Source organism: Homo sapiens, chromosome 6 (assembly GCF_000001405.40).
Source record: "Homo sapiens chromosome 6, GRCh38.p14 Primary Assembly".
In the NCBI taxonomy this organism is placed as follows: Eukaryota; Metazoa; Chordata; class Mammalia; order Primates; family Hominidae; genus Homo; species Homo sapiens.
In genome coordinates, this window is record NC_000006.12 from 102,159,062 (window position 1) to 102,184,915 (window position 25,854).

General features: G+C 36.1%; 1 long non-coding RNA gene across 1 annotated transcript in view, besides 4 other annotated features; it reads left to right on the forward strand.

Moving 5' to 3' along the window:
* The first annotated feature begins 1,915 nt into the window (after positions 1-1,915).
* LOC105377913 (uncharacterized) overlaps positions 1,916-25,854 on the forward strand; it is a 64,390-nt gene continuing 40,451 nt past the window's right edge. The window contains exons 1-2 of the long non-coding RNA XR_942820.3: positions 1,916-2,055; positions 2,725-2,882. This is a non-coding gene — a long non-coding RNA (uncharacterized LOC105377913). The remainder of the gene's footprint in view (positions 2,056-2,724; positions 2,883-25,854) is intronic.
* Positions 5,518-5,687: an enhancer, noted in NCBI's record as "experimental_87080 CRE fragment used in MPRA reporter constructs". NCBI's record gives its function as "activates a minimal promoter by MPRAs in K562 erythroleukemia cells, with activity observed for both the introgressed and non-introgressed 6:102612539 variant alleles {active_cell/tissue: K562}" and the evidence as "EXISTENCE:reporter gene assay evidence [ECO:0000049][PMID:34662402]".
* Positions 10,411-11,028: an enhancer, noted in NCBI's record as "NANOG-H3K27ac-H3K4me1 hESC enhancer chr6:102617347-102617964 (GRCh37/hg19 assembly coordinates)". NCBI's record gives its function as "activates a minimal SCP1, AML or CMV promoter by ChIP-STARR-seq in naive H9 embryonic stem cells {active_cell/tissue: H9 hESC(naive)}" and the evidence as "EXISTENCE:reporter gene assay evidence [ECO:0000049][PMID:30033119]".
* Positions 11,029-11,645: an enhancer, noted in NCBI's record as "NANOG-H3K27ac-H3K4me1 hESC enhancer chr6:102617965-102618581 (GRCh37/hg19 assembly coordinates)". NCBI's record gives its function as "activates a minimal SCP1, AML or CMV promoter by ChIP-STARR-seq in naive and primed H9 embryonic stem cells {active_cell/tissue: H9 hESC(naive and primed)}" and the evidence as "EXISTENCE:reporter gene assay evidence [ECO:0000049][PMID:30033119]".
* Positions 25,486-25,655: an enhancer, noted in NCBI's record as "experimental_87095 CRE fragment used in MPRA reporter constructs". NCBI's record gives its function as "activates a minimal promoter by MPRAs in K562 erythroleukemia cells, with activity observed for both the introgressed and non-introgressed 6:102632507 variant alleles {active_cell/tissue: K562}" and the evidence as "EXISTENCE:reporter gene assay evidence [ECO:0000049][PMID:34662402]".

The window sequence follows — 25,854 nt, forward strand, 5'->3', positions numbered from 1 at the left end:
TGCAATCCCTATCAAAATACCAATGGCATTTTTTCACAGACATAGAAAAAACAATTCTAAAATTTATACGGAATCACAAAAGACCCAGAATAGCTAAAGATATTCTGAGCAAAAAGAACAAAACTGGAAGAATCACATTACCAGGCTTCAAATTATACTACAGAACTGTAGTAACCAAAAGTGTGGTACTGGCATAAAAACAGACACACAGACCAATGGAACAGAATACAGAACTCAGAAAAAAATACACACACCTACAGTGAAACTATTTTTGACAAAGGTGTCAAGAACATACAATGTGGAAAAGACAGTCTCCTTAATAAATGGTACTGCAGAAAGTGAATATCCATGCACAGAGGAATGTAACTAGATAACTAACTCACCGTTTTCAAAAATCAAATAAAAATGGACTAAAGACTTAAATATTAGGCCTCAAATTATAAAACTACTCCTAGAAAACATTGGGGCAAATCTCCAGGACATAGGTCTGGGCAAAGATTTCTTGAGCAATACCCAACAAACACAGGCAACCAAAGCAAAAATAGACAAATGGAATCACATCTAGTCAAAAAGCTTCTGCACAGCAAAGAATACAATCAACAAAGTGAAGAGACAACCCAGAGAATGAGAGAAAATATTTGCAAAATACCCTTCTGACAAGAGATTCGTAACCAGAAGATATAAGGAACTCAAACAACTCTATAGAAAAAAAGAAAATCTAAGAATTTGGCCAAAATTTGGGCAAAAGATTTGAATAGACATTTCTCAGAAGAAGGCATACAAATAACAAACAGGCATATGAAAACGTGCTCAACATCACTGATCAACAGAGAAATGCAAATCAAAACTATAAAGAGATATCATGTCACCAAAGATAAAAATGGCTTATATCCAAAAGACAGGCATTAACAAATGTTGGCAAGTACATGGAGAAAAGGGAACACTTGTACACTGCTGGGAGGAATGTAAATTGGTGCAAGCACTATGGAGAACAGTTTGGAGGTTCCTCAAACAACTAAAAATTGAGCTACCATATTATCCAGAAATCCCACCACTGGGTATATAACTGAAAGAAGGGAAATCAGTATATTGAAGAGACATCTGCATTTCTATATGTGTTGAAGCACTGTTTGCAATAGCTAAGATTTGAAAGCAACCTAAGTGTCCATCAACAGATAAATGGATAAAGAAAATGTGGTACATATACACAATGGAGTACTATTCAGCCATAAAAATATAATTAGATCCAATCATTGGCAACAGCATGGAAGGAACTGGAGATCATTATGTTAAGTGAAATAAGCCAGGCATAGAAAAATATCGCATCTTCTCACTTATTTGTGGGATCTAAAAATTAAAACAATTAAACTCATGGAGATAAAGAGTAGAAGGATAGTGATCAGATGCTGGGAACGGTAGTGGGGGGTGGGGTCAGGTGGGGATAGTTAATGGGTACAAAAAATAGAAAGAATGAATAAGACATACTATTCATGAATGAGTAAATAATATATACTTGAATAAGATATAGCACAATAGGTGACTATAGTCAATAATAACTAATTGAATGTTTTAAAATAACTTAAAGAGTGTAATTGGATTGTTCATAACTCAAAGGATAAGTGCTTGGGAGGATGGATACCCCATTCTCCATGATGTGCTTATTTCACTTTGCATGCTTGTATCAAAACATCTCATGTACCCATAAATATATATACCTACTACATACTCACAAAAAATAAAAAAGGAAAATTAAAAATATTAAAGCAAAGGGAATCTAAATAAATTCAATGTAAATGAAAAATGGATGTGAAAAATTACTTACAGTGCTGTGGAGGCTAAGAAGACAGTACATATTATGACCTAGACAATCATGAATGAATTCTTTAAAGAGGTAGTCATGAAGAAAAAGTCAGGGTGCACCAGACAGAAGAAAGAGATTGTGCATTTCATGTAGAAGCAAAGTTATGAAAGTGCATCGGATGTTTTGAGAAGCAAGTACTAAGTATGGTTGGAGATGAAGGTTTGGGGGATGTCCAGAGAATTGATACACACATGGTAAGGACCAGGTAAAAATATTTCAAATGTTCTCTGTACTATTTGATCTGTACTATTAAGTACTTTTGTGAAAACAGATGACTTGAAGTCTGAAATAGAGAAATGCCTGGACTTTCAGGGACCAGCAGAGGAATAGAGGATTGGTCTGAGAGAGAGATAACAGGTGCTTAAAGTGAATAGCAGGTATCACAAAGGGAAAATTAATTCATATGTTTTGAGAAAATAGAGTGTCTTAGTCTGTTTGGAGTTCTACAACAAAATGCCATAAATTGATGCATTTATAAAGAGAAAATTTGTTTGTCACAGTTATGGAGCCTGGAAAGTCTAAGATCAAAGCACTGGCAGATGCAATGTCTGTTGAGAGGTCATCTCCTCTTTCATACATGGCACTTTCTAACTCTGTCCTCACATGGTGCAAACATGCTCCTCACAAAGGAGCAAACAAGCTCCTTTGAGCCTCTTCTATAAGAGCACCAATCTTACTCATGAGAGCTCTGCCTTTATGACCTAATCACCTCCCAAAAGCCCTGCCTCTTAATACCATCACATTGGGGATCCATTTTCAACATATGAATTTTAGGGGGACACACATATTCAGACCATAGCATAGGGTCAATGTTTTTTGTTTCTTTTTTGTTTTGTTATATTTTGTTTTGGCACCACATATAGGATAATGAGAAGAGGAGCATACTTCTTGAGAAGCACAGGTAAAGAGAGGAAACCACTATCAAGAAAATAGAAGGAGTTATTTGAATAACGTGGTGGACCAGAAGAAAAACCTCAGTTGAAAAAATGTTGCATCACTTTTCCAAATTTCAGTTCTTCAGGTAAAACAATGACATTTTTACCATGTCTTTATACCACTTGCACTTTTATTTACTTAATATTTTTCTTCATATTATTGCTATTTTTGCATATCTTAAAATTGAACTTTATATTATTACTATGAATGGAATGCCAGCATTTTTCTAGTTTGCATTAAAACATATATGCAACTGCATTATCACAAGGTGGCAATGATTAAGAAAGATATTGCAAAAATCCCAGGCACACATTCCTCTCTATGCAAGAAAGGCCCTCAGGAGACAGAGCAACACCCCCAGGTGGAAGGAAAAGCTTCCTACTTCAGATCCCAATGCTTCTGATGTCATTTGACCTGTATACGGATCCCATCAAAGGTGCAAAAAGTTCACTTTGACATTTGCAAAGTGGGGTTTCTACTTTTCAACTATCTTCCAACTGCTTTGAGGACTAGTCACTTTGGCAAGTCAGTGATAACAACATCAAGGGCACTGGCGAGTTTTCCCTCAGAGGTGAAATTCCCATATTTACCCTTCCTCTAGGATTCCCAGATAGGTATTGTCCTGTATGTCACAAAGCTAGATATAAATAAAGATGATGTCCAAAACTGATAACGAACCTAAACTCAGAGAGAGAGACAGACAGAGAGAGAGAGTGAGAGAGAGAGAAGAGAAAGACAAGTGCATGAGAGAGCTGGCACTTTTGGATTACTTTCTGAAAAGCAGTGCTAGCTTGTTTGAAGAGAACTACATCATTAAAAAGCACTACATTAGTTAGAGCAGGTTTATTCTTAAGAGCTTCATATCCTAGGGAAAACTTCATAGTAAATTTACAACTTTGGATTACATAATTTAAAACATCTGTCGTTTTCTTTTTTATCCATGGCTTAAAAAACAACGGACTTATTTCACCTACTTATTTTTAACAAAAGGCTTATTTTAAACAAAGAAGTTTAATAAAATCTTTAAGTGTTGATGTCAGTATTGTTTTGTAATTATGAATATGACCAAAATTATTTTCATTTCTCAGTTATCCATACTGGAAGATAGGCAAGTTTAGATAAAATCTGCTCTCCAAAACACAAGGCCCTCCTAACATTTGGGAAGCATTGGCTGCAACTGAAGGCCATAGGCCTGGGACAAAAAATTTCACTGTTTGACTGGTGAGGATTTTAGGTTATTGTTGAACTTCTTCAAACTGTATGCAAAGTATTAGGCAAAATTATTAGGCAAATTATTGACATATTGTTTTCTCAAATTAGAATACACAACTTTCAACAGAATTGAAAATTGACTTGTGAATAACATACATATACTTATCTATGTAAAATGAAAGAGAGCTCACTCCTCCTTACAGATTACTTTCTGCAAATATAACTGATCTAAATATGGGAAATGGTAAAATTTGTAGGTATCTGAAGTTGGATTGTGAATCGACATATATACCCTATAATTCATCATATAATAAGTTGATTTAGATTTTATTTTATGTAAGTTTTTAGAAGATCACCTGTTTCCATTCGAAAATTTAATCCCCAACTTTGTCTAGGTAGCACATTTCAGGACAGCCCTGCGAAATGGTATTTTAGTTGATGTTGACATGTATGTACTATTTTCTATAGTTAATGAATTAAAATGGAATATTCTTTTGTCTGCCTTATTCACTCCTTTTTGCAGTTTTCTCAAGGACATTCTAAGAGAACTAAAAATCGGTACTGGAATACTGGTATTAGATCATCAGAACACGGTCCTCTGAGAATCTCAATAGGCTATGAATATTATCAAGTGCCCTTGAGTCAGTCATCTCATACAAATGAATTAGAAATGAATTTGTCACTACTTCCCCAATTAGAGTAGATATTCAAGGATTGATTGCAAAATTATGAGAATAGAAATCCAGTTTTTGTGTAGTACAGCTGCAAATAGTTTATTTTAAGATTTCTGTCCCTGGAGATACTCCTCATGCCTTTTCTATTATTTCTTTTTTCTCAATAATGATTTAGTTCATCACCTTCAAAGCAATTTGACCTTTGCTACCTCCACCCGCCATTGTTATCTGTCCCAAACTCAAGTAAGAAATAGAAGCAAAAAATGCACTATAGAAAAGGCAGTGAACTGTAAATTTCTCCTATCATTTGGTGGAGACCTCTCTTGCTGTGAAACTGACCTTCTTTTTTTCCCATTAAAAACTCTATTATAATGTTCCTTAAAGAACTTTCAAAGCATTTAGTTGATAGTAGTTATGAGTTTGCTATAATGTAGAATAGGAGATTTAATATTGCATTGATTTTTTATTACAGCTTTTGACATTCCTAAAACACTAAATGTTTGATGTTTAGAAGTTTACTATAAAATATCCAGTTTACGTGAACCAGGGTATCATTTTATATTAAATTACATCCTCTTTCATTGAAACTCATAAGAAGTAATAACATAAAAATTTATTAATCTGGACCTTTGCAATAGGTATAAAATTCATTTGTGTGCATCCAGTTTCTCCCATTTTGATCTATTCCACAGATGACTGCCAGATTAAGTGTTCTAAAGCCACTTGGATTCTGAGTCCACAGATCACAGGCCTTCAGATTCTTCACATAATTAAAATGAAAATTTAAAATAACTTCAAAGACCTTCCAGGATGTAACCCTACTGTAATTTCTAAAACCTTTCTCATCACTCTGCTAATTATTACTACCCCTTATGCGCTGGCACAACCCCAGCTCCCAATTTTTTCCCACAGATATCAGCGCACATTTGTCTACTCTATCTCAGTTGCTCTCTTGCTCATGGTCAAATTGTAGGTCTCACTTTTCTGACCATAGGTGACTTCTTTCTGCTTTGAAGTTCTTTTTTTTTTTTTTTCTGAGATGGAGTCTCGCTCTGTTGCTCAGGCGGGAGTGCAGTGGCGCGATCTCCGCTCCCTGCCACCTCTGCCTCCCGGGTTCACGTGTTTCTCCTGCCTCAGCCTCCCGAGTAGCTGGGATTACAGGTGCACATCACCACCACACTCGGCTAATTTTTTGTATTTTTAGTAGAGACGGGGTTTCACTATGTTGGCCAGACTGGTTAAACCTCTAACTTAATTTGCCTTTTCCTAAAAGAAATTTTAGCATGGCATGTTACTCATGTCGACAACTTCAATTTTCTGAAAATATTATTTTAGAATATATTTTATTCCTTTAAAATTAGACTTTAGTCAAAATTAGAAATCATACCCTTAAAGTACAGGTAAACTTAATATAAACTTTGATTGTGGTGGATAAGCTTTTTGATGTGCTGCTCGATTTGGTTTGCCAGTGTTGTTTTGAGGATTTTTGCATCGATGTTCATCAGCAATATTGGCCTGAAATTTTCTTTTTTTGTTGTATCTCTGCCAGGTTTTGGAATCAGGATGATGCTGGCAGGTTTTGGAATCAGGATGATGCTGGCCTCATAAAATGAGTTAGGGAAGAGTCCCTCTTTTTCTATTGTTTAGAATAGTTTCAGAAGGAATGGTACCAGTTCCTCTTTGTACCTCTGGTAGAATTTGCCTGTGAATCTGTCTGGTCCTGGGCTTATTTTTCATTGGTAGGTTATTAATTACTGCCTCAATTTCAGAACTTATTATTGGTCTGTTCCAGGATTTGACTTCTTCTTGATTTAGTATTGGGAGGGTGTATATGTCCAGGAATTTAATCATTTCTTCTAGATTTTCTAGTTTATTTGTGTAGAGGTGTTTATAGTATTCTCTGATGGTAGTTTGTATTTCTGTGGGGTCAGTGGTGATATCCACTTTATCATTTTGTACTGTGTCTATTTGATTCTTCCCCCTTTTCTTCATTATTAGTCTAGTTAGCAGTTTATCTATTTTTCTAATTTTTTCAGTAAACCAACTCCTGGATTCATCGATTTTTTGAAAAGTTTTTCATGTCTCTATCTCCTTCAATTCTGCTCTGACTTTAGTTATTTCTTGTCTTCTTCTAGCTTTTGAATTTGTTTGCTCTTGCTTCTCTAGTTCTTTTAATTGTGATGTTAGGGTGTTGATTTAAGATGTTTCGTGCTTTCTGATGTGGGCATTTACTGCTATAAATTTCCCTCTAAACACTGCTTTAGCTGTGTCCAAGAGATTCTGGTACATTGTCTCTTTGTTCTCATTGATTTCAAAGAACTTCATTATTTCTGTCTAATTTTGTTATTTACACAGTGGTCATTCAGGAGCAGGTTGTTCAGTTTCCATGTAGTTGTGTAGTTTATAGTGCGTTTCTTAGTCCTGAGTTGTAACTTGGTTGCATGTGGTCTGAGAGGCTGTTTGTTATGATTTCCATTATTTTATATTTGCTGAGGAGTGTGCTACTTCCAATTATGTGGTCAATTTTAGAATAAGTGCTATGCAGTGCTGAGAAGAATATATATTCTGTTGATTTGTGGTGGAGTGTTATGTAGATATCTATTAGGTCTGCTTGGTCCAGAGGTCAGTTCAAGTCCTGAATATCCTTGTTAATTTTCTGTCTCAATCTGTCTAATATTGACAGTGGGGTGTTAATGTCTCCCATTATTGTTGTCTGGGAGTCTAAGTCTCTTTGTAGGTCACTAGAGTCTAAATCTCTTTGTAGGTCTCTAAGAACTTGCTTTATGGATGTGGCTGCTCCTGTATTGGGTGCATATATATTTACAACAGTTAGCTCTTCTTGTTGCATTGATCCCTTTACTTTGTTACATTGATGCCATTCTTTGTGTTTTGGTCTTTATTGGTTTAAAGTCTGTTTTATCAGAGACTAGGATTGCAATCCCTGCTTTTTTGGTTTCCATTTCCATTTCCATTTGCTTTCCATTTCCATCCCTTTATTTTGAGCCTGTGTGTGTCTTTGCACATGGGTTGGGTCTCCTAAATACAGCACACCGATGAGTTGTGACTATTCATCCAATTTGCCAGTCTTTGACTTTTATCTGGGGAATTTAGCCCATTTATATTTAAGGTTAATATTGTTATGTGTGAATTTGATCTTGTCATCATGATGCTAGCTGATTATTTTGCAAATTAGTTGATGTAGTTCTTCATAGTGTTCTTGTTCTTTATACTTTGGTGTGTTTTGCAGTGGCTGTTACTGTTTTCCTTTCCATATTTAGTGCTTCCTTCAGGAGCTCTTGTAAGCCAGGACTAGTGGTGACAAAATCCCTCAGCATTTGCTTGTCTGTAAAATATTTTATTTCTCCTTCACTTATGAAACTTAGTTGGCTTCATCCCTGGGATGCAGGGCTGGTTCAACATACACAAATCAATACACATAATCCACCACATAAACAGAACCAATGACAAAAAACCACATGATTATCTCAATAGATTCAGAAAAGGCCTTCAATAAAATACAACACCACTTCATGCTAAAAACTCTCAATAAACTAGGTATTGATGGAACATACTCAAAATAATAAGAGCTATTTATGAAAAACCCACAGCCAACATCATATCAAATGGGCAAAATCTGAAGCATTCCCATTGAAAACCGGCAAAAGAAAAGAATGCCCTCTCTCACCACTTCTATTCAACATAGAATTGGAAGCTCTGGCCAGGGCAATCAAGCAAGAGAAAGAAATACAAGGTATTCAAATAGGAAGAGAGGAAGTCAAATTGTCTCTGTTTGCAGAAGACATGATTGTATATTTAGAAAACCCCATTGTCTCAGCCCAAAATCTCCTTAAGCTGATAAGCAAATTCAGCGAAGTCTCAGGATACAAAATCAATGTGCAAAAATCACAAGGATTCCTACACATCAATAATAGACTAGCAGAGAGCCAAATCATGAGTGAACTCTCATCCACAATTGCAACAAATAAAATAAAATACCTAGAAATACAACTTACAAGGGATGTGAAGGAACTCTTCAAGAACTACAAATCACTGCTCAAGGAAATAAGAGAGGACACAAACAGATGGAAAAAAAATTCATGCTCATGGGTAGGAAGAATCTATATCATGAAAACGGCCATACTGCCCAAAGTAATTTATAGATCCAATGCTATTCCCATCAAACTACCATTGACTTTCTTCACAGAATTAGAAAAAAATTACTCTAAATTTCATATGAAACCAAAAAAGGGCCCTTATAGCCAAGACAATCCTAAGCAAAAGAACAAAGCTGAAGGCATCATGCTACCTGACTTCAACTATACTACAAGGCAACAGTACCCAAAACAGCATGGCGCTGGTACCAAAACAGATATATTGACCAATGGAACAGAACAGAGGCCTCAGAAATAATGCCACACATCTGCAACCATCTGCTCTTGGACAAACCTGACAAAAACAAGCAACAGGGAAAAGATTCCCTACTAAATAAATGGTACTGAGAAAACTGGCTACCCATATGCAGAAAACAGAAACTGGATCCCTTCCTTACACCCTGTACAAAAATTAACTTAAGATGGATTGAATACTTAAATTTAAGACCTAAAACTGTAAAAATCCTGGAAGAAAACCTAGGCAACACCATTCAGGACATAGGCATGGGCAAAGACTTCATGACTAAAACACCAAAAGCAATCACAACAAAAGCCAAAATTGACAAATGGGATCTAATCAAACTAAAGAGTTTCTACTCAGCAAAATAAAATATCATCAGAGTGAACAGGCAACCTAAAACATGGGAGAAAATTTTTGTAATCTATCCTTCTGACAAAGGTCTAATATCCAGAATCTACAAGGAACTTAAACAAATTTACAAGAAAAAAACAAACAACCTCATCGAAAAGTGGGCAAAGGATATGAACAGACACTTCTCAAAAGATTACAGGTATGTGGCCAACAAACATGAAAAAAAGCTCGTCATCACTGGTCATTAGAGAAATGCAAATCAAAACCATAATGAGATATCACCTCCTGCCAGTTAGAATGGCGATCATTAAAAAGTCTGGAAACAACAGATGTTGGTGAGGATGCAGAGAAATAGGAAAGCTTTTGCACGGTTGGTGGGAGTGTAAATTAGTTCAACCATTGTGGAGGACAGTATGGTGATTCCTCAAGGATCTAGAACCAGAAATACCATTTGACTCAGTAATCCCATTTCTGGGCATATACCCAAAGGATTATAAATCATTCTACTACAGAGACACATGTACATGTATGTTTATTTCAGCACTATTTACAATAGAAAGACTTGGAACCAAGCCAAATGCCCATCAATCATAGACTGGATAAAGGAAATGTGACACATATAAACCATGGAACACTATGCACCCATAAAAAAGAATGAGTTCATGTCCTTTGCAGGGACATGGATGTAGCTGGAAACCATCATCCTCAGCAAACTAACGCAGGAACAGAAAACCAAACACAGCATGTTCTCACTCATAAGTGGGAGCTGAACAGTGAAAACACAGGGACACAGGGAGGGTAACATCACACACGGGGGCCTGTCTTAGGGTTAGGGGAAAGAGGAGGGTGAGCATTAGGACAAATACCTAATGAATGCAGAGCTTAAAACCTAGATGATGAGTTGTTAGATGCAGCAAACCACCATGGCACACGTATACCTATGTAGCAAACCTGTACGTTCAGCACATGTATCCCAGAACTTAAAGTCAAATAAAATAAAACAAGAACAACAAAAATTAGGATAGTAATACTGCTTACTCCAGAGGGTGGGTAGGAGCATTCAATAAGATAACATTATAAAGTGCTTTATGTAGTGCCCGGTAAGTGTTACCTGCTCAATAAATGTTGGCTGCTATTACAGCTACACTGAGTTAAAATAAAAAAAAAATTATAACCTTTGCTTTATACATACAAGTTTTGTTTATTTTGAAAGACAAATACATTGGCAAGTACTGCATTTTCTAGTACTCAACAAAGTGCCTGGCCTAAGGTAGGTCCTTAATATGGTACATATTTACTGAATCATTGAAATTTCATATTTTGATACATTAGAAAATAATGCATCCTTACCTCAGACATTAAAAAGAGCTTCCACGTCTCGCAAGGAGTCAGGGAGTTCCCTTTCCGAGTCAAAGAAAGGGGTGACAGACGGCACCTGGAAAATCGGGTCACTCCCATCCGAATACTGCGCTTTTCCGACTGGCTTAAAAAACGGCGCACCACCACGAGATTATATCTCGCACCTGGCTCGGAGGGTCCTACGCCTAGGGAGTCTCACTGATTGCTAGCACAGCAGTCTGAGATCAAACTGTAAGGCGGCAGCGAGGCTGGGGGAGGGGCGCCCGCCATTGCCCAGGCTTGCTTAGGTAAACAAAGCAGCCAGGAAGCTCCAACTGGGTGGAGCCCACCACAGCTCAAGGAGGCCTGCCTGCCTCTGTAGGCTCCACCTCTGGGGGCAGGGCACAGACAAACAAAAAGACAGCAGTAACCTCTGCAGACTTAAATGTCCCTGTCTGACAGCTTTGAAGAGAGCAGTAGTTCTCCCAGCACGCAGCTGGAGATCTGAGAACGGGCAGACTGCCTCCTCAAGTGGGTCCCTGACCCCTGACCCCCGAGCAGCCTAACTGGGAGGCACCCCCCAGCAGGGGCACACTGACACCTCACACGGCAGGGCATTCCAACAGACCTGCAGCTGAGGTCCTCTCTGTTAGAAGGAAAACTAACAAACAGAAAGGACATCCACACCAAAAACCCATCTGTACATCACCATCATCAAAGACCAAAAGTAGATAAAACCACAAAGATGGGGAGAAAACAGAACAGAAAAACTGGAAACTCTAAAAAGCAGAGCACCTCTCCTCCTCCAAAGGAATGCAGCTCCTCACCAGCAACGGAACAAAGCTGGATGGAGAATGACTTTGACAAGCTGAGAGAAGAAGGCTTCAGATGATCAAATTACTCTGAGCTATGGGAGGACATTCAAACCAAAGGCAAAGAAGTTGAAAACTTTGAAAAAAATTTGGAAGAATGTATAACTAGAATAACCAATACAGCGAAGTGCTTAAAGGAGCTGGGATGGAGCTGAAAACCAAGGCTCGAGAACTATGTGAAGAATGCAGAAGCCACAGGAGCCAATGCGATCAACTGGAAGAAAGGGTATCAGCAATGGAAGATGAAATGAATGAAATGAAGCGAGAAGGGAAGGTTAGAGAAAAAAGAATAAAAAGAAATGAGCAAAGCCTCCAAGAAATATGGGACTATGTGAAAAGACCAAATCTACGTCTGATTGGTGTACCTGAAAGTGATGGGGAGAATGGAACCAAGTGGGAAAACACTCTGCAGGATATTATCCAGGAGAACTTCCCCAATCTATCAAGGCAGGCCAACGTTCAGATTCAGGAAATACAGAGAACGCCACAAAGATACTCCTCGAGAAGAGCAACTCCAAGACACATAATTGTCAGATTCACCAAAGTTGAAATGAAGGAAAAAATGTTAAGGGCAGCCAGAGAGAAAGGTCGGGTTACCCTCAAAGGGAAGCCCATCAGACTAACAGCGGATCTCTCGGCAGAAACCCTACAAGCCAGAAGAGAGTGGGGGCCAATATTCAACATTCTTAAAGAAAAGAATTTTCAACCCAGAATTTCATATCCAGACAAACTAAGCTTCATAAGTGAAGGAGAAATAAAATCCTTTACAGACAAGCAAATGCTGAGAGATTTTGTCACCACCAGGCCTGCCCTAAAAGAGCTCCTGAAGGAAGCACTAAACATGGAAAGGAACAACTAGTACCAGCCGCTGCAAAATCATGCCAAAATGTAAAGACCATCGAGACTAGGAAGAAACTGCATCAACTAACGAGCAAAATAACCAGCTAACATCATAATGACAGGATCAAATTCACACATAACAATATTAACTTTAAATGTAAATGGACTAAATGCTCCAATTAAAAGACACAGACTGGCAAATTGGATAAAGAGTCAAGACCCATCAGTGTGGTGTATTCAGGAAACCCATCTCACGTGCAGAGACACACATAGGCTCAAAATAAAAGGATGGAGGAAGATCTACCAAGCAAATGGAAAACAAAAAAAGGCAGGGGTTGCAATCCTAGTCTCTGATAAAACAGACTTTAAACCAACAAAGATTAAAAGAGACAAAGAAGGCCATTACATAATGGTAAAGGGATCAATTCAACAAGAAGAGCTAGCTATCCTAAATATATATGCACCCAATACGGGAGGACCCAGATTCATAAAGCAAGTCCTGAGTGACCTACAAAGAGACTTAGACTCCCACATATTAATAATGGGAGACTTTAACACCCCACTGTCAACATTAGACAGATCAACAAGACAGAAAGTCAACAAGGATACCCAGGAATTGAACTCAGCTCTGCACCAAGCGGACCTAATAGACATCTACAGAACTCTCCACCCCAAATTAACAGAATATACATTTTTTTCAGCACCACACTACACCTATTCCAAAATTGACCACATACTGGGAAGTAAAGCTCTCCTCAGCAAATGTAAAAGAACAGAAATTATAACAAACTATCTCTCAGACCACAGTGCAATCAAACTAGAACTCAGGATTAAGAATCTCACTCAAAACCGCTCAACTACATGGAAACTGAACAAGCTGCTCCTGAATGACTACTGGGTACATAAGGAAATGAAGGCAGAAATAAAGATGTTCTTTGAAACCAACGAGAACAAAGACACAACATACCAGAATCTCTGGGATGCATTCAAAGCACTGTGTAGAGGGAAATTTATAGCACTAAATGCCCACAAGAGAAAGCAGGAAAGATCCAAAATTGACACCCTAACATCACAATTAAAAGAACTAGAAAAGCAAGAACAAACACATTCAAAAGCTAGCAGAAGGCAAGAAATAACTAAAATCAGAACAGAACTGAAGGAAATAGAGACACAAAAAACCCTTCAAAAAATTAATGAATCCAGGAGCTGGTTTTTGGAAAGGATCAACAAAATTGATGGACCACTAGCAAGACTAATAAAGAAAAAAAGAGAGAAGAATCAAATAGATACAATAAAAATTGATAAAGGGGATATCACCACTGATCCCACAGAAATACAAACTACCATCAGAGAATACTACAAACACCTCTATGCAAATAAACTAGAAAATCTAGAAGAAATGGATAAATTCCTGGACACATACACTCTCCCAAGACAAAACCAGGAAGAAGTTGAATCTTTGAATAGACCAATAACAGGAGCTGAAATTGTGGCAATAATCAATAGCTTACCAACCAAAAAGAGCCCAGGACCAGATGGATTCACAGCCGAATTCTACCAGAGGTACAAGGAGGAACTGGTACCATTCCTTCTGAAACTATTCCAATCAATAGAAAAAGAGGGAATCCTCCCTAACTCATTTTATGAGGCCAGCATCATTCTGATACCAAAGCCAGGCAGAGACACAACAAAAAAAGAGAATTTTAGACCAATATCCTTGATGAACATTGATGCAAAAAATCCTCAATAAAATACTGGCAAACAGAATCCAGCAGCACATCAAAAAGCTTATCCACCATGATCAAGTGGGCTTCATCCCTGGGATGCAAGGCTGGTTCAATATACGCAAATCAATAAATGGAATCCAGCATATAAACGGAGCCAAAGACAAAAACCACATGATTATCTCAATAGATGCAGAAAAAGCCTTTGACGAAATTCAACAACCCTTCATGCTAAAAACTCTCAATAAATTAAGTATTGATGGGACGTATTTCAAAATAATAAGAGCTATCTATGACAAACCCACAGCCAATATCATACTGAATGGGCAAAAACTGGAAGCATTCCCTTTGAAAACTGGCACAAGACAGGGATGCCCTCTTTCACCACTCCTATTCAACATAGTGTTGGATGTTCTGGCCAGGGCAATTAGGCAGAAGAAGGAAATAAAGGTTATTCTATTAGGAAAAGAGGAAGTCAAATTGTCCCTGTTTGCAGAGGACATGATTGTATATCTAGAAAACCCCATTGTCTCAGCCCAAAATCTCCTTAAGCTGATAAGCAACTTCAGCAAAGTCTCAGGATACAAAATCAATATACAAAAATCACAAGCATTCTTATACACCAACAACAGACAAACAGAGAGCCAAATCATGAGTGAACTCCCATGCATAATTGCTTCAAAGAGAATAAAATACCTAGGAATCCAACTTACAAGGGATGTGAAGGACCTCTTCAAGGAGAACTACAAACCACTGCTCAAGGAAATAAAAGAGGATACAAACAAATGGAAGAACATTCCATGCTCATGGGTAGGAAGAATCAATATTGTGAAAATGGCAATACTGCCCAAGGTAATTTATAGATTCAATGCCATCCCCATCAAGCTACCAATGACTTTCTTCACAGAATTGGAAAAAACTACTTTAAAGTTCATATGGAAACAAAAAAGAGCCCACATCGCCAAGTCAATCCTAAGCCAAAAGAACAAAGCTGGAGGCATCACACTACCTGACTTCAAACTATACTACAAGGCTACAGTAACCAAAACAGCATGGTACTGGTATCAAAACAGAGATATAGATCAACGGAACAGAACAGAGCCCTCAGAAATAACACCACATATCTACAACTATCTGATCTTTGACAAACCTGACAAAAACAAGCAATGGGGAAAGGATTCCCTATTTAATAAGTGGTGCTGGGAAAACTGGCTAGCCATATGTAGAAAGCTGAAACTGGATCCCTTCCTTACACCTTATACAAAAATCAATCCAAGATGGATTAAAGACTTAAACGTTAGACCTAAAACCATAAAAACCCTAGAAGAAAACCTAGGCATTACCATTCAGGACATAGGCATGAGCAAGGACTTCATGTCTAAAACACCAAAAGCAATGGCAACAAAAGACAAAATTGACAAATGGGATCTAATTAAACTAAAGAGCTTCTGCACAGCAAAAGAAACTACCATCAGAGTGAACAGGCAACCTACAAAATGGGAGAAAATTTTTGCAACCTACTCATCTGACAAAGGGCTAATATCCAGAATCTACGATGAACTCCAACAAATTTACAAGAAAAAAACAAACAACCCCATCAAAAAGTGGGCGAAGGACATGAGCAGACACTTCTCAAAAGAAGACATTTATGCAGCCAAAAAACACATGAAAAAATGTTCATCATCACTGGCCATCAGAGAAATGCAAACCAAAACCACAATGAGATACCATCTCACACCAGTTAGAATGGCAATCATTAAAAAGTCAGGAAACAACAGGTGTTGGAGAGGATGTGGAGAAATAGGAACACTTTTACACTGTTGGTGGGACTGTAAGCTAGTTCAACCATTGTGGAAGTCAGTGTGGCGATTCCTCAGGGATCTAGAACTGGAAATACCATTTGACCCAGCCACCCCATTACTGGGTATATACCCAAAGGACTATAAATCATGCTGCTATAAAGACACATGTACACGTATGTTTATTGCGGCATTATTCACAATAGCAAAGACTTGGAATCAACCCAAATGTCCAACAAGGATAGACTGGATTAAGAAAATGTGGCACATATACACCATGGAATACTATGCAGCCATAAAAAATGATGAGTTCATGCCCTTTGTAGGGACATGGATGAAATTGGAAATCATCATTCTCAGTAAACTATCGCAAGAACAAAAAACCAAACACCGCGTATTCTCACTCATAGGTGGGAATTGAACAATGAGATCACATGGACACAGGAAGGGGAATATCACACTCTGGGGACTGTCGTGGGGTGGGGGGAGGGGGGAGGGATAGCATCGGGAGATATACCTAATGCTAGATGACGAGTTAGTGGGTGCTGCGCACCAGCGTGGCACATGTATACATATGTAACTAACCTGCACAATGTGCACATGTACCCTAAAACTTAAAGTATAATAAAAAAAAAATTGAAAAAAAAAAAAAAAGAGCTTCCACGTTTGTGTATTTATCTCTGTATGTGTGAGAGAGTTTGTATCTGTTTGCGAGTGTGTGTGTGTGTGTGTCTGTGGGTGTGTGCGTGCACATCTCTACAAGTTTAAGAGTGTTTGTATGTGTATCTTCTTCAATTGTGAGACTGTACTGGTCTTTCTGGCTCCTGTTCCAGTTTCTACTCTTCGAATATCTGTGTCTATTGCTGTCTCTATGCATGTGTCCAATCTATCTGGGCTTTACTTATATATATATATATATCTTAATAATGAGAGGAGTTGATTTAAACTATATTTAAATTTCCTCTTCCCTCTACACTCTGAGATTCTATGAATTAGATATTCCTTTCTCCTTTTTGTTTTCCTTGGATTTGCTTATCTTTTCCACAGGATACTAAGGCATTGACTATCTTACTAATACAATCATAGTAGAAAGAATAGACACAGATTTTTTAAAAAATCTGCTTAATAAAAAGGTAATGATGCATGAGTAAAGTTATATTTTACAACTCCTTATTTCAAAGTTTGCTTTGAACGTAGATTATTAACATATTGCTATTACCAGCTAGCTACTGAATAAGGAAAGACAGAAACTGATGATAAAATTATTTCATTAAAGTGGGATTTGATTTTAATCTGAATGTCAAGTGTATAGATACAGGCTTAGAGCAAATCTGGGCTGTTTGGCAGTTGCAGTATCTACGACTTTGCTCATCCCTCTGGACTTTTTTTTCTCTTCTACTCTGTACCATTATTTATTTCCTCACAACTTTACATAGCCTAATTATAAGCTCCTAAAGATATGAATCATGTACATATTTTAATTAAAGCTTTCAGTAAATTCAGGATGCTTCTATAGAATATCAATCATTCAAAAATAATATAAATTGCATCAATTAGCTTTAAACTTTTTAATCCTTAAAACTTTACTGATGAGCAATTTTATTTGAAGGAATTCCATTTGCTGGTAACTGAAATCAATGAATCTTATAAAATCTTGCTGCTTAATTTGAGTCCATTATTTTGGCTCTGTTTCTTCATACTAAGCCTGGGGACTCAGTCTTCTCTTTAGATATATTTTCATTTGCCTCTTGGCAAGGATTCCCAGCAATGGTACTGAGTTAGAAGACTTAGAACATCCCTTGTATTAGTCAGAGTTCTCCAGAGAGACAGAAACAATATGATCTACACAAAGATTGATATATGAGAGAGGATTTATTAGGGGAATTGGCTCACATAATTATGGAGGCTGAGAAGTCCCATGATAGGCCACTTGCAAGCTGGAGATCAAGGGAAGCCGACAGCGTAGCTCAGTCCAAGTCCAAAAGCATCACAACTGGGGAAGCCAGTGGTGTAACTCAGTTCAAGGCCAAAGACCTAAGAACCCCGGTGGGCGTTGCAGAGAGGCTGGTGCAAGTTTTGGAGCTCAGTGGCTGGAGAGCCTGTAATTCTGATGTCCAAGGGCAGGAGAAAAAGAGTGTTCCTGCTTCAGGAGAGAATGAATTCACCTTTCCTCTGCCTTTTTGTTCTATCTGGGTTACCAGGTGACTGGAAGGTGCCCACCCATATTGAAGGCAGATCTTCTCCCCTCGGTTCACCAACTCACATACCAATCTCCTCCAGAAACACCCTCACAAACATACCTCAAAATAATACTTTACCAGTTGTCTAAGTATCTCTTAATCCAGTCAAGTTGATGCCTAAAATTAACCATCACATCGACTTTACTCCCAGTTTCTGAATGTCTTTCCAGTTGGTGGTAATCTAGTACTCTCTCACGTATATCTGAGGGCAGGCAAAGCAAGCCACAGTAAAGAGAACAAGCTTTACTAAGAGCAACGCCTTACCAAAATATAAGCTTCTTGTGAGGAGAGAGATTTTTGTCAGCTGAGTTCATTGATATTTGTCAAGCCCCAAGAGCAGGGCTTCCACACTTCAGGCACTTGTTATATGTGGGTTGGTAAAGTAATGTCTATACCATTCACTTTAAGCCTCCAGTTCCTATGGGTCTCTAGCATGTGCTCTAGAGACAATAGGAATGAACAAAATGGCTAGTGTTTGTCAATCCATTATGCAGAATCCTTCTTTGGATCCATTGCACTTACACTCACTTATCTACATATTTTGATGTATATTTTAGTTGAAAAACCTTAATGTTTTTTGTATTTTAGGTGGCATTACAAATAAGTAACCAAATAAAATCATTTACTTTACTTTAAGACACGCTTAATTTATGATAATGATTCTAGGCTGTCTAGTGAAAGTCAAACATTGGATCTGAATTTCCAAAAAGAGTAGAATCAATTATTTGAAAAATGTCAAGACTCTTTCCGTTTTTTGAGATGGGGTCTCGATCTATCATCCAAGGTAGATTGCAGTGTCTATTCACAGGCGTGATCATAGCTCACTGCAGCCTTGAGTCTTTGGGTTCAAGCTATCAGATTACAGGCGTGCACCTGGCTAATTTTTTGAAAAACGATTTTTTAGAGATAGGGTCTTGCTATATTACCCAGGCCCATCTCACTACTGGTCTCAGGCAATCCTCCTACCTCAACTTCTCAAGTTGCTGGGATTATAGGCATGAGCCACCATGCTCAGCTCTTTCCACTTCTTCTCTGCCTTCTCTGTGTGTTTTCTATCTTATCTCTCCTTACATGAGCACTACTCCTTCCAATGTGTGGTTCACAGAAGTATTCAAGATCAAGAACAGTTCTAGGATCTTTATCTTACAACATTAGCAATTTTATACCTTCTTCTTTTAGCCTCAGCTCATCAGGGCATTTAAATTTTCGAAGAGCCCTTTTCAAAAAGTTAAAAGCATAATTCTCATATAAATATAGAATAAATTAATGTCAAAATATATTAAACATCTTATGAGAAACCAAAAGGATAATAAGATTACTTTTAAAAATGTGAGAAAAAGAAAGTTTTTATTTTCACAGGAATATAGAGTGCTGGAATAAAATTTATAAATCACAGGTGAAACTGGTTGGTGCTCTATTGGGCGATAAAAAATAATGAAAAGCTTTGGAGTAAAATCTTCAGCATGCTTGAATCTCGATTTGCATTGTTCTCACTAAGAATTCACTTGCATTGCTATCTGACATGAGGCATCTGTAGTACTATCAGTTTTATATGAATCAGTATCTATGCTTATGGAGTTGCAAAACACAGTCAATAGACAGTAGTAAATAAAATAAAATTTATATAACCTCAGACAATCAGAGAACTCTGGGCTAGTCATGTGAGACACTAGTGTGATTGTGAAAAGGCATGCAGTCATCCTTTACCTATATCCATGATATAAATATTTTTTAAATGCTATAAGGATATTTTAATTACTTATTATTTTAGGGACTGTTTTTTAGAGATGGGGTCTTGTTATATTGCCCAGGCTCATCTGGAATTATTGGCCTCATGCACTCTTCCCACCTCAGCCTCCCAAGTTGCTGGGATTACAGTCATCAGCCACCATGCTCGGTTCTTTTAATTTATTGTGAAAATTTAAAAAGAAATGCATAGAAAATGCATAATACAGGTTTGGCACAAAATAAACTCACAATAATGTACTTATCATTAATACTGTATTTATTAACATTGTATTACAAAAATACAGTCCCTAAACTTCTCTTTATCCAGAGAGATTTAACATACTACAGACAACATTAGAAGACCTATTAAACATTGCCAACATTTACCCATATCCAGCGTTCTTCTACTTCTGATTATGCTGAGGAGAAATTTCCCCTTCTGTTGAATTTAGGCATAACCAGCTCATGTATCTAATTCTAAAAGTTGCATGTGTCATTTTGGAACCACTCATTTATTTGCTAGCTATCAACACTCCAGCTTTCTCTGTTTTTCCTTGTCATTGCAAACTATGTTGCAGTATGTTGAAATGGAAGCCTCCCTCAGCAATAATCATGGATAAACAGAGCTCTCCTGTAGTATCAAAGAGAAAAAAATACAAACAAGCTTTTGTTTACACTATAGTTTTTGGATTGGTTTGTTACTGAAGCGTAGCCAAACTATTCTGATCAATACAATGACCTATGTCAGTATTTTTCAAAATGTCATTGAATACTAAATTATTCTTTAAATAAAAGGTCTTATGTTAAATGAATGTGCTAAAGTCCTACAAAATGTATAAGATTACAATGTATGTTATATTAAAAGTTCTAAAATCTTCTCTAACACAGAAGCATGATTGGCTTTAACACAGAAATTTATAAGTTTATTTGAGAAAAAAATCTATGGCAACATATTTATTGACATTCTGCAGAAGAGCAATGCAAAGATCACCAGTATGGAAACTTTTACCTCAGAAAGGATGAGATACACCTAATTGAAAATAAGCAGAAAGGATGGTGTACAAAGAAATGCCATGAAATTAAAATATTCTATTAAAAACTATTTTTAATGTATTCTAAAATCTGGATATAAGATATTTGTTAAACTGTAACTGTAAAACAAATAATAGTAATAACAGAAAACACTTATCACTGAATTGCTAATGAAATTATCATTGCGCTTAAATTTGAAGAAAAACAAACCAGTTATAATATTGTTATATCCAAATATATCATGAAGAAGAATTAAAAACAATGATAGGTTTTTATTGTTTCTATGAAATTTAATTATTTATTGGTTTTGAAGTTGTCTTTACAACAAAAGTAATGAGTGAATTTTTATGGGATTCAAGTTTGAGGATATAAAAGAAGAAACGAAATATATTACATTATTAAAATGTTATTGCTGTGACAGTCATCTATTTTATTTTTTTCTTCTTTCCTTGTTTTTTCTCCCTTTCTTTGTTTTTAATTTCTTTCTCATTTTTATAATTCTGATTACATAGTAAAAGAAGTTTGCTACTATGATTTCACAGAAAATTATAATGACAGCTAGAGTTGTCAGTGATCCTGAAAAAGTAAGTGTAGTTCAATTGCAATGATTAGAAGCAGCTCTCTTACTTTGTAAATTTAGCTAAAATCAATGAGCAAAGTTACTGTTTTGTAATAATATGTTTTACTTAGACATCAATACTCTTAATATCAGTTTAATATTTTAAAAGATTCTCTACAATAATAAATAACTAAAAAATATTATAAATATTCCATTAGGTTCTGTATCCTGGTATACTTACAAGTAGAAAAGAATTTATATTGCCATGTCATTTCATACGGATTATTCTAAATGTACTTCAGATTCTGAGAGGTATTTTTTGGTGTATGCATCTGACATATCTTTAAGAACCTTTAAAACATCACCAGAAATAAGAGAAGCTTTAGATTTTCAAGTGCTTTCAGAGTAAACATGCATTTCAATGAGGAACTGTTTCAAGAGAGAATGAAACAATTTATAGTACTATATAGGCTCCCTGCAAGCTAATAATCCTCTATTATCATTCTGTAATTATTTTTCACAGTTTTTTTTTATTAGAAAAACACGGGGAAGCCAGGATTTAAAAAGAAAAAAATAAAAAGTATCAAATTGGAATAACATCTTCTTTAAATAAAAGAATGATGGATGGATGACAGCCTGTAGGTATGCCAGGTTAAGCAACCAAGCAACAGGATTTAGGTAAGCTGAAGGGTAAACATTTCCACAGAAGATAAACACTTAAACAGAAATTATAAGACATTAATACACTGATGAAATTTCAGCAACATAAAGGGCAATCAATAGAGTAGAACTCCAAAGAACTGGAGTCAACAAAATAATCTGAAATTATATATGTATATATATTATATCTTCAAAATATAGGAAAGGCTTCCAAAAAAAATAAAAGAAAACAATAAACAAAGAAAAAAGAGACACATGTGAAAAGAAGCAATAAGAAATCTTAAATGTGAAAAAAGGTATTTTTTTACATTAGTTGAATAAAAACTATTTTTTTCAATTAAAAATCTGAAGAGTAGATTGGCTAATCTGACTATTTTCTGGAGACTAATATGACACAGCTGGAGAGAAAATTATTAAATTAATAAAAATTAATAAGTATATATTCTAAGACATACTATGAATAAACGTATTGTTGATGAATGAAGAAAAAAATTATAAAAATGAAAATAAAAAGAGGAAGGATAAAATGAGAAGCACAGTTGCACAACTATTATTTGCTGTATAAAGATAAAGCAGAATGAGAAAAATACAATAGTCAAACAGATAATGACTAAGAATTTTGCAGCATCGAAGAGAAACATGAGACTTAGATTTAAGAAAACCAGTATGTGCTGAGAAGATAAAGTAGAAATAAATGCTATTTAGATATAGACATTTTCTAGTAAAAAGGTAAAACACTAACGAAAAAAATTAAAAAAAAAAACCTTTAAAACTACCAGGTGATAAAGGCAGGTTAACTACAGGACAATACAACTCACATGAGCAACACATTTGTTGTTAGAGGTCCCTGGACTCGAATTCTGTTCAGTGATTTCTAAGTTGTGCAAGCTCAGTTGTTTGCTACTCCATCTTTCTGTGCCTTGGACTCCTCATTTAAGCACTTTGCACATATTATCTCACTTAATCCTCAGAACCATCCCTGGCATGTAGAGAAAAACTGATATATATTAGAGATTGCAACTTATTATTATTTTAAAATTTATTATCAGTTGTTAAGGAGCCAGAAGACAACAGAGTAATGTATTTCAAATGATGAGGAAAAGAACTATGAACCCCGTATCCCCTAACCAAGAGCCAGGGCTAATTAAGATAATTTTAAATACGCAAAAAATTGGAAATATTTCTAATCAGGGCCCTCATGATAGCGCATTAAATACTTCAGGAAGAAGAAAAAAATGTATCCAGAAAGAAGAAATGGGAAGTAAAAAGCAAAAATAATTTAAAAGTTAGTAAAATAAGTTTGTGAATAAAAAAGTGCTTATTGTAATAAATGAAAGTATTTCATGACATACTACATTGCTTTCTCTTTTGCATTTATGTTTATATGACTGTTTACCCAAAGAGTCTGAGGTTTCCATCTGTCCCTAGATCATACACATCCTAAGTAGATTATAGGAAAAGAGATGAGGTAAAATACAAGAAATGGACTGCCCAAAACTTTTATTAATGAAATGCCCTTAACATCTAAATCATTGAGGTCATGTTTTTATTAACGAGTAGTAGTTCATGCTTTCCATAGTCAAAAAGATCATGGAACTATGATAAGCCCCATTTTGCCCTAGGTAGCCATTAAAATTCAGATTGTGTAATATTTAGAAATACTTCATTTCTGTTCAAAAAGAAAAGATAAAAATTGTAATTACTTGGGAACACCAAACCTAGAAGTGAATCAACATGCACTATTAACCTTCTTGCTTGGCAACAAAATTTTCACATATGAGCTAGGAGATACTAAAATCAAAGGAATATACAGAGTGCCCTAATGATTCTGTGAAATTAGAAATAATCCCTCATAGATTTTCAAAGGAGTTATTATTTTTGCATTTTTAATAATTTCATATTCTGAAAACTTTATTAAAACTTCAGATTCTAATACCATCAGGATTGTTTAATGTTCTATTCAAAATGCAGCCTCAAACCAGATAGCATTGACACTTGATAAAAATGGAAAGATCTATACTCATTTTAAAGAGAAGTTTCTAATATTAATAAGTTGTTAGAATGAGAATATTTGAGTTTACTACATGTTACTTGAGGCTATTTAATATATATAAAAATCTCTTTTAAGTAGTACAGTTTTTACCTTTTCTTTTGTTCCTTTATTGATTTTTCCTTTCCTCCTTTTCTTCTTTATTTTCCTCCTCCCTCCTTCCCTCCCTTTTCCCTTTTACTCAATGAGACTGAGGTTTCCATCTGTCCCTAGGTTATACACATCCTAAGTAGATTAAAGGAAAGGAGAGAGAAGACAAGAGGTAAAATTGAAGAAACGGATTGCCCAAAAGTTTTATTAATGAAATGTCCTTAACATCTAAATCACTGAGGTCATGTCTTTATTAAAGAGTAACAGTTCTCTCTCTCTCTCTCTATCCCATTTTCTTTTTATATTCTGGCTTGTACCTGTTTAGCTAAGCTATTTGTCTCCATGGAATTAAATCAGAACATTCTGTTTCAATCCTCTGTCTTCCATTCCTGCTATACTTGCCTTGCCTCACTCTGCCTCAGACACATTAGTCTTGGGACATTAGGACTTTTGTGATGGCTCTTATCTTTCCTGGAAACTTTCAGTCCTTGATTTTCCTAAGCTTAATTCCCTCACCTCCTCAAATCATTTGTTCTCATGTCACCTTCTCAGTGAGATCTGCTCTGACTACCTGATTGAAAATTGGCCACCTCCATCTCATTTCTCCTCTCTTTTCACTTACTCTTTCTCTTGCGTAATGCTCAACCCCTAGAAGATAGCATGTAATTTAATTTTATATTGTTTTTATTCTTTGATATCTGTCTCTACTGAATCCTAACCAAAAGACATACTGGAATGTAAGCTTCACGAATATAGATATTTTTGTCTATTTTGTTCACTTTATATCCAAAAGGTCTAGAAATGTTCTTGGTACATAAAAGCTGCTAGATAGAGATAGATATTTGTTGTAAATTTGTAGAAAATGACTAGGTAAAAGTAGGAAAAACAATTCAACTTTCATAAGAAAAAGCCTTCCAGTGGGAACAATCTGCTAAGAAAGGCAAGCTAATATGGACACACCTCTGAGATTCACTATCCCTGTTTGAGAAGCTACTAAATAGGACATTTAGAATCAATGGTCAAGGCACGATGCATCTCTTTCCCTGAGTGGAATTCTTTACTATGGTTATTCTGCTTTTCTTTCACTTTTGTGTATCAGGTATTTTGAAAGTGGCTAAATTTATTATTTAGACAAGAGATTGTCAAATGAAAGCTCTTTGCCCAAATCCTGGCCACTGCCTGTTTTTGTACAAGCTGTGAACTAAAAATGGTTTACACATTTTAATTGTGGGAAAAATTTTATAATAATATTTCATAGCATACAAATATAATAAAATACACATTCCATTCAATGTCTATAAATAAATTTTATTGGAACCAAAACACATTTATTTATGTGGCGCTATGGCTGTTTTAGTGCTACAGTGATACAATTGAGTAGTAGTAACAGAGGCTGTATGAGTATCAAGCCTAAAATATTTACTAACTGGCCTTGCTGAAAAGAAAGTTTGCTGACCCTTGATTTAGACCATATGCTTCAAGATAGAGAAGAAGTA